At 46.5% G+C, this 8,505-nt stretch overlaps 1 annotated feature.

The window, feature by feature from the left end:
- Positions 3,132-3,631: an enhancer, noted in NCBI's record as "H3K4me1 hESC enhancer chr2:71091695-71092194 (GRCh37/hg19 assembly coordinates)". NCBI's record gives its function as "activates a minimal SCP1, AML or CMV promoter by ChIP-STARR-seq in primed H9 embryonic stem cells {active_cell/tissue: H9 hESC(primed)}" and the evidence as "EXISTENCE:reporter gene assay evidence [ECO:0000049][PMID:30033119]".

Here is an 8,505-nt window from a genome sequence, read left to right on the forward strand (position 1 = left end):
GATAAGCGAATGTTGGGTATTATTAAATAACATAGCCGGGCATGGTGGCGCATGCCTGTAGTCCCAGCTACTCAGGAGGCTGAAGAGAGAGGATCGCTTGAACCCAGGAGTTCGAGTCCAGTCTGGGCAACCTAGTGAGACCCTACCTCAAACATATTTTTAAATAAATAATAATAAAAAAAATGTTTTCAACAACGGAGGCACACAGACTTGACTTCCCACACTGCATTTTGCTTGCCCCCGGCCCTAAACATACCCCTAAGCTGCGATCCACTGCCTCTTCCCTCACGAGCATAGACCCCTCCCCACCACTCCTTTGGTCATATTTTGGGAAAGAGTCCTTAAATTAAGTTCCCTTTAGCGCTGCTCTTATAGGACATGGACATCCACAAGCTTGATCTTTCTCCCTGCCTAATTCACACCCAGGCTCAGATATGGATCTGTCCTTCCCTTTAAACATCTGGTCATTAAGAAAAGTTCATGTCGAGAACGCCAGAGTCCACAAGAGTGCGGGATTCCTGAGATCCCTGCCGAAGCGGCTCCCTGGCATTACAATTCCGCCGGCGCTCTCTCCCTCAGTGACCTGTAGATGGCGCCATTGCCTCTGCCTGGGCACAGAAGGGCTCCTGCCGCTTGGAGTTCTGTTTTCACTATGCGTGTGAATCTGGTCCTCCTTAGGTATTTGTTGGACTGAATGATAGTTATAATGGAATCCTGGCCTTCCAGGAATCCCCGACCCCCTCAATGAATGTAGTAGTAATATTAGTCATCTCATTCCTACATTTCACTCCCTAGGCCAGGACCCCTGAGATTTCAGTAAAGGTATAAATTTGCTGAATTCTTTGAACCAAGCGCCAGGTGCTGGCTTCATGGAAGGCAGAAAATTGCTTGCCTTGTCCCCAATGAGCACACATGAGTAATCAGTCTTCGTCTTCCGGATGTAGCCAGGGTAGCAATGGCCTCGATCCCACCAGCTGGTGACTATTAAATATGCCAAGCCCTGACAGGTTCAGTCCTGAGAGTCCGGAACCTCTAGGAATGCCGGGGGTTCTTGTTACAAAGAGAGCCGAGAAACAGGAGTCAGGTGGCAGTGACACTCCATGCTTCCCCTACTCCACCAAAGCTGTTCTTGCCACAGTCACGGTGAACTGACCCTCCTGTTTACAAATTCAACTGGCATTTTCCTATCTGTTGATTTTTTTTTACCTCTTGGTGACATTCTTTCCCACTCACACTCCCTCACAAGGCCCCATTTCTTGGATACTTGTGGCCTCACGCACTCCTGGTCTTCTCCTGTTTGGAACCTCCAGGAGTTCCTTCTCTCTCACCTCTCCCCTAGATGCTGGACTTGCTGATAGGTCCGTTCTTATTCCTCTTCCCTGCTCTCCACACAGATTCTCCCTGGACAATCTCCTTCCTCCCCACCTCACTCCCCAATTCTCTTTCAGTCTAAACCAGTCCCCCAGACTTATGAATCCAGCTACCACTGGCCCTCTTTGCTTGCTTGCCACATGAACTCTTCAAAAACAATAAATCCATACCTGAACCCGGCCCCAGCACCTGACCACCACATCCCTATCCCCACCCCAGCCAACAAGTCTGACCCTGGTTCTGTGCTCCAGTCTCCCGAGCCAGACAGTCAAGTATCACCCTTGACTCCTGTGTTAGTTTTCTACGGTTGCTGTAACAAATTATCACAAACCAGGCGGCTTAAAACAACAGAGAGTGACCCTCTCATCGTTCGGAAGGCCAGAAGTCTGAAAAACTGTCAGCTGCATTGTGCTCCCTCCAAAATCTCCAGGGGAGAATCCTTCCTCACCTCTTCCAGCTTCAGGCATTCCCTGGCTCCTCCGTGTCTGATTCCAGCCTCTGCCCCCATCTTCACATGGCCATCTCTTCTGTCTCTATGCATCCTCTTCTAAGAAAGCTCTCCTTGGATTTAGAGCCCATCCTAAGCCAGTATGATCTCATCTTTATCTTTACCTCAATCATATCAGCTAAGATCCTATTTCCAAATAAGGTCTCATTCTGAGGTTCTGGGTGGACATGAATTTGGAGGGGATGCCATTCAACCCACTGTAATTCCTCCACTTCCCCGCCACAATCTAATTTAATGCATGCTACCTGGGTTTTTTGTTTGTTTGTTTGTTTGGGTTTTTTGTCTGTTTGTTTGCTTTTTGTTTTTTCAAGACAGAGTTTTTGCTCTTGTCGCCCAAGCTGAAGTGCAATGGCACGATCTCGGCTCACTGCAACCTCCACCTCCTTGGTTCAAGCAATTCTCTTGCCTCAGCTTCCTGAGTAACTGGGATTACAGGCACCTGCCACCACTCCTGGCTAATTTTTTGTATTTTTAGTAGAAACGGGGTTTCACCATATTGGTCACGCTGGTCTTGAATTCCTGACCTCAGGTGATCCACCCACCTTGGCCTCCCAAAGTGCTGGGATTATAGCCATGAGCCACCGCACCCAGCTGCTACCTGCGTTTTTGTTTTTCTATTCTTTCTTTCTTTTTTTTTTTTTGAGACAGAGTCTCCCTCTGTTGCCCAGGCTGGAGTGCAATGGCGGCATCTCAGCTCACTGCAACCTCCGCCTGCTGGGTCCAAGCGATTCTTGTGCATCAGCCTCCTGCGTAACTGGGATTACAGGCACCCACCACCACACCTGGCTAGTTTTTGTATTTTTAGTAGAGATGCAGTTTCACCATGTTGACCAGGCTGGTCTCAAACTCCTGACCTCAGGTGATCTGCCCATCTTGGCCTCCCAAAGTGCTGGGATTACAGGCATGAGCCACTGCGCCCAGCCACATGCTACCTGTTTAACATCTTTCCATCCACCTACTTCTCTCCATCCACATGGTCAAGCCACCAATTCCTGCTCCCTGGCACCTGGTCAGGTGTCCAGGCCCCAGCCTTGCCTTCCATCCACTCCTCACACAGCAGCCAGAGGAATTGTTTCAAAACAGATCTAACCCTGCTGCTCACCTCACAACCTGCAACACACACACACACACACACACACACACACACACACACACACACTCCCAGCGTCACTGGGAGAAAGCTCCAGCTCCCCAGCCAGCGCTCTGCAACACACCAGTCCCTCTGTAAGTGGTCCCTGCCCTCCTTTCTGGCTTAACGTCTAACAACTGCCCACCCACTTTCCAGCCGCCTTCCTCATGTCCCAAGCCTGCCTGGGCCAAAAGCGCTCCTGTGGGCTGCAGGTGCCACAGCGCCCAGGTCTCTGCAGATGCTGCTCCCTCTGCTGGAAATGCCCTCTCCCTGCCCGGCCCACCTCACTGACTCCTTCAAATCTCAGGTTAGACGCCGATTCCTCTGGTCAGATAGCCCTGGCCCCCAAATCAAGTGAGATTCCCATTCGGGCTCTCCCAGCTCTCCAGGCCACCCCCAGCACAGCCCTGTCACACTGTACTATGTGTGTGTTCCTTGAGAGCAGGCACCGGGCATGCTCACCACATAGTCTCTGCACCTAGCTCAGTACCTGTCACTTCACAGCAACAAACACATTGTGAGCACCCAGCATGAGTTAGGGACAGTCCTCAGCATCTTCCCTGCACTAACTCATTTCATTTTCACAACAGCCCTGTAAGGTGGTGACTTCACAGGAGGCCCATTTTTTTTAGATGTGGAAACTGGGGTACAGATACATTAGGTAACTTATTCAGAGTCACAAAGCTATTAAGCAGCAAGTCTGGTGTTCCAACACAGGCAGCCCAGGTGCAGAGTCCAGTCCTAGCTATAATGCTATACTCAACCATGTATTGAAATAACTCTTTATTGGTTCAGTTAGCTAATGTAAAATGGAGCCAGCCTGACCCCAAGAAGTTAGCTGACTTTTCCTGAGGTTGTCTAGTGAGGTCAGAACTTTGACTCAAGCCCTCAGACTTCTAGACCAGTGTTGCTTATGAACCCACCAAAAAGAGACCAGGGGGTCAGGAGTCACTGGGCTGCTGCAGGTGCAGGATTCTCAGAAAGGCTCCTGAGAAAAAGGGGCCCTCTTCCTTTGCTGCCTTGTCCAGAAGTGCTCATTATAGTCAGGACAGAAGCCCTCCAGCACAAAAGGACACCCCGGCAGCAAGTCTCCTGGTACCCAGCACTATTCATGAGGTTCTATTAAAACAAACAAACAAACCCTTTGTATTTTTGTAGAGACAGGGTTTCACCATGCTGGCCAGGCTGGTCTTGAACTCCTAACCTCAGGTGATCTGCCCAGGGCGTGATGGCGGTGCCTGTAATCCCAGCTACTCAGGAGGCTGAGGCAGGAGGATCGCTTGAAACCTGGGAGGCGGAGGTTGCAGTGAGCCGAGATCGCGCCATTGCACTCCAGCCTGGGCGTCTGTCTCAAAAAAAAAAAAAAAAAACCACCTGAGTTCAGATCCAAACCTCAATTTGATCAGGCCTCTAAATCTAATTGCCAGATTAAAGGAAGTACAGAGGATACTGCAACATGGTGAGTAAGTCCAAAGAATGAGAAATGCTAAGGACAACGGCTCTAGTTACACACACACACACACACACACACACACACACACTCATACATAAAGAGTAAGATGAATGGTCACAGATTTTAAAAGCCTTAAAGATGTATCAAACAAACACAATGTATGGCATTTGTTTGGATGCTGATTGAAACAAGGTACCTGTTAAAGAAAACACATGTGAGACAAAAGAGCAAATGTGAACAATGACTGGCTATTAGTACTAATCTGTAGGTATAATTACTGTGTTTTTTGTTTGCTTGTTTGTTTGTTTTTGAGACAGGGTCTCACTCTGTCACCCAGGCTGGAGTGCAGTGGCTCGATCATGGCTCACTCACTGCAGCCTTGACCTCCCAGGCTAAGTGATCCTCCCACCTCAGCTTCCCAAGTAGCTGGGACTACAGGTGTGCACTATCACACCCAGTTAATTTCTTTATTTTTTTTGTCGAAATGGGGTTTCGCTGTGTTGCCCAGGCTGGTCTTGAACTCCTGGGCTCAAGTAATCCTCCCACATCTGCCTCTCAAAGTGCTGGGATTATAGGCATGAGCCACCATGCCCGACTAATTATTACACTTTTTAAAAAAGAGTTCTTACTTCTTAGAAATACATACGGAAGTATTTACAGATAATAAAATAACTTCAGGGAGAAGAATAGGGATATAGATAAAATAAGGTCAATTGTGGAATCTGGGTAATAGGTATATGGTGGGGGAGTTATATTATTCCCTCTACTTTTGTACTTGCTTCTAAAATGCATAATAAAAGACTAAAATAAAAGAGTCACCCTCACACAGTGAACCAGGCAGCTGCAGCCAACCAGTCAGAAATTATGGATTATGAATCCACTTTATCCAGTCAATTCTGTTCTGGAGTATGGTGATCCCAGAAGGAGGTTTTGAAACAGTAAAGAGCCCCTGGATCTTAAAGAGGAGTCAGCTCTGGTAGGCTCAGAAGCCTGACCCTGGCTAGGTGAAGTGGCTCACACCTGTCATACTAACACTTTGGGAGGCAGAGGCAGGAGGATCGCTTGAGGCCTAGAGTTCAAAACCAGTCTGGGCAACATTACAAGACCCTGTCTCTACAACAACAACAACAAAATTTTAATTTGCCAGGCATGATAGCATGATCCAATAGTCCAAGCTACTCAGAAGGCTGAGGCAGGAGGATTGTTTTAGCCCAGGAGTTCAAGACTGCAGTGAGCTATGATAGTGCCACTACATTCTAGCCTGGCAATAGAGTGAGACCCTGTCTCAGAATAAAAATTTAAAAAGAAAGCCTGACCCTTATAGCTTGGCTACATTTATAGAATATAGAATATTTATTCTTCTTCGCTCTTTTTTTTTTTTGTCTTTTATTGCTATTAAATATTGTTCTCCTTCAGTCTTTGGTAAAAATCTTTTATGAAAATTCCAACTTTTTTCACATGTGGCTAAGGGAAGCAAGGAAAGTTGAGTTTGTTTACCAAATGTTGAGACCCTCAATCCCATCCCCAGCCCCTAAGACACCTGGTCTTCCTCTGCAAGCAGGAGACTGGAAGAGCCTTCTCTGGGAAATCTAACCGGCCCAGGAGAAAGATATTCAAGGCAATGAAAATTGATAGATTTTTCTGAAGAAATTGAGAGGAGTTGTAGAGAGTTGGCAGAGTCTGAGGTTGAATTATTTCAAAGCATATAGAAAACTAACCAAATGAAAAGAAAAAATAATTATTAATTTTTTAAAGTAGTATAGGAAAGGAAAATATAATTGTGATTCAGCTGTGAATAATGTTTACATATTCATAGCAATATGATTACTGAATACTGATATACCAACTGTTATTTATTGGTTTGCCGCATCCATTTCCATTACTGTTATGTTCTTCCCTAAATCACAGCAGATGGAAGGCTAGAAACTATTCTTCCAGACTTACAAAAAGTTTGGGATCTGATTGTGATTTTAGATCTGCCACAGGGATTTTTTTTTTATCTGTTTGGCCTATCAATAATCTAGAAGTGTTTTGAAATCCCTCACTAGGATAGTAAATGTGTACATTTCTCCCTATAATTCGTTCGTTTTTATGTTATCATTAGAAACCATGTTAATTGCTCCCAGCACTTTGGGAGGCCGAGGCAGGCGGATCACGAGGTCAGGAGATTGAGACCATCCTGGCTAACATGGTGAAACCCTGTCTCTACTAAAAATACAAAAAATTAGCCGGGCGTGGTGGCGGGTGCCTGTAGTCCCAGCTACTCAGGAGGCTGAGGCAGGAGAATGGCTTGAACCCAGGAGGCGGAGCTTGCAGTAAGCCGAGATTGCGCCACTGCACCACTGCACTCCAGCCTGGGCGACAGAGTGAGACTCTGTCTCAAAAGAAAAAAAAAAACCATGTTAATTGCATACATGTTTAGAACTGTTGCCGGGTGTGGTGGCTCATGCCTGCAATCCTAGCACTTTGGGAGGCTGAGGTGGGAGAATCACTTCAGCCCAGGAGTTTGACACCAGCCTGGGCAACAGAGGAGAACCCATCTCTACAAAAAATAATAAAAAAAACATTGGTGGGTGTGGTGGTGCACACAGTCCCAGCTACTCAGGAGGCTGTGGTGGGAGGATCACTTGAGCCCAAGAGTTCAAGGCTGCAGTGAGCCATCTTTGTGCCATTGCACTCCAGCCTGAGGGACAGAGAGAGACCCTATCTCAAGAAAAACAAAAACAAAAAAAACCTGTTTTATCTGCTTAGTGAATATTTTGTCATGAGAATGATATTAATATGGCCATGCTTGCTTTTTTGTTTGTTTGTCCAATGTATCTTTTTCCCTTTCTTCACATTCAGTTTGTCCGTATCTTTACATCTTAAATGTGTCTGTTTAAAAAGACATATAGCTAGGTTTTCTGTCTCATCTTTTTTTAGTTCTTTCTCCAAAAGCGTTTTCAGCGTAGGTCATCCTACAGTATATATTGAGAAAAATGTTTAGTATGCCCTCATATCTGAGTGACAATCTGCCTGGATATAAAATTATAATTTTCAAAAGAGTCACCCTCACATACCCCAGCAGGGTCTATGTTCTGCCCTGATCATACCTTCTATAATCTGAATGTGTCCCTCCAGAATTCATTTGTGTTAACCTACGTGGACACTGGGGTGGTATGAAGAGGCAGGGCCTTTGGGGACATGGTTGAGTCATAAGTGCTGCACCCTCATGGATGGGACTAGAGCCCTTAGAAAAGAAGTTGAAGGGAGCTCCCTGGCCCCTCCACCATGTGATGACTCAGCAAAAGGGGCCATATTTGAAGCAGAGCAAACCCTCACCAGACAGAATCTGCCAGCACCTTGATCTCAGACTTCCCAACCTCCAAAACTGTGAGCAATGAATTTCTACTGTTTATAAATTACCCAGTTCATGGGTTTGTGTTTTTGTTTGTTTTGTTTTGTTTTTTGAAATGGAGTCTCTGTCTGTCTCCCAGGCTGGAGTGCAATGACATGATCTCGGCTCACTACAACCTCTGCCTCCCAGGTTCAAACAATCCCCCTGCCTCAGCCTCCCTAGTAGCTGGGATTACAGACACGTGCCACCACGCCCAGCTAATTTTTTTTTTTTTTTTTTTGTATTTTTAGTAGAGATGGGGTTTGCCATCTCTGTTGGCCAGGCTGGTCTCAAACTCCTGACCTCAAGTGATCTGCCCACCTCGGCCTCCCAAAGTGCTGGGATTACAGGCGTGAGCCACCACGCTTGGCCCCATAGTTCATGGTATTTTTGTTACAACAGTCTGAATGGACTTAAGGCAGTACCCCATGGGTACCTGCCCAAACCTTCTGGGCCATTTTCACAGGCTGAGGGAGCACCCAATGGGTATCCTAAAGCAAAAAGGTTAGGGCAGGGCAAGCCACAATTAAAATAATAGCCTGCCCAAAGTTAAACTGCCACCTCCACTTCTTTGCAGCTTTTAAATGACAGGGTTGCTCCAGGGAGTAGTTCCAGCTACATTTCAGAAATCACAGGATTTTGCTCTTGGCTTCAGCGGGAATGATGCT

The sequence above is a fragment of the Homo sapiens genome, chromosome 2 (assembly GCF_000001405.40).
Source record: "Homo sapiens chromosome 2, GRCh38.p14 Primary Assembly".
NCBI classification, from domain to species: domain Eukaryota; kingdom Metazoa; phylum Chordata; class Mammalia; order Primates; family Hominidae; genus Homo; species Homo sapiens.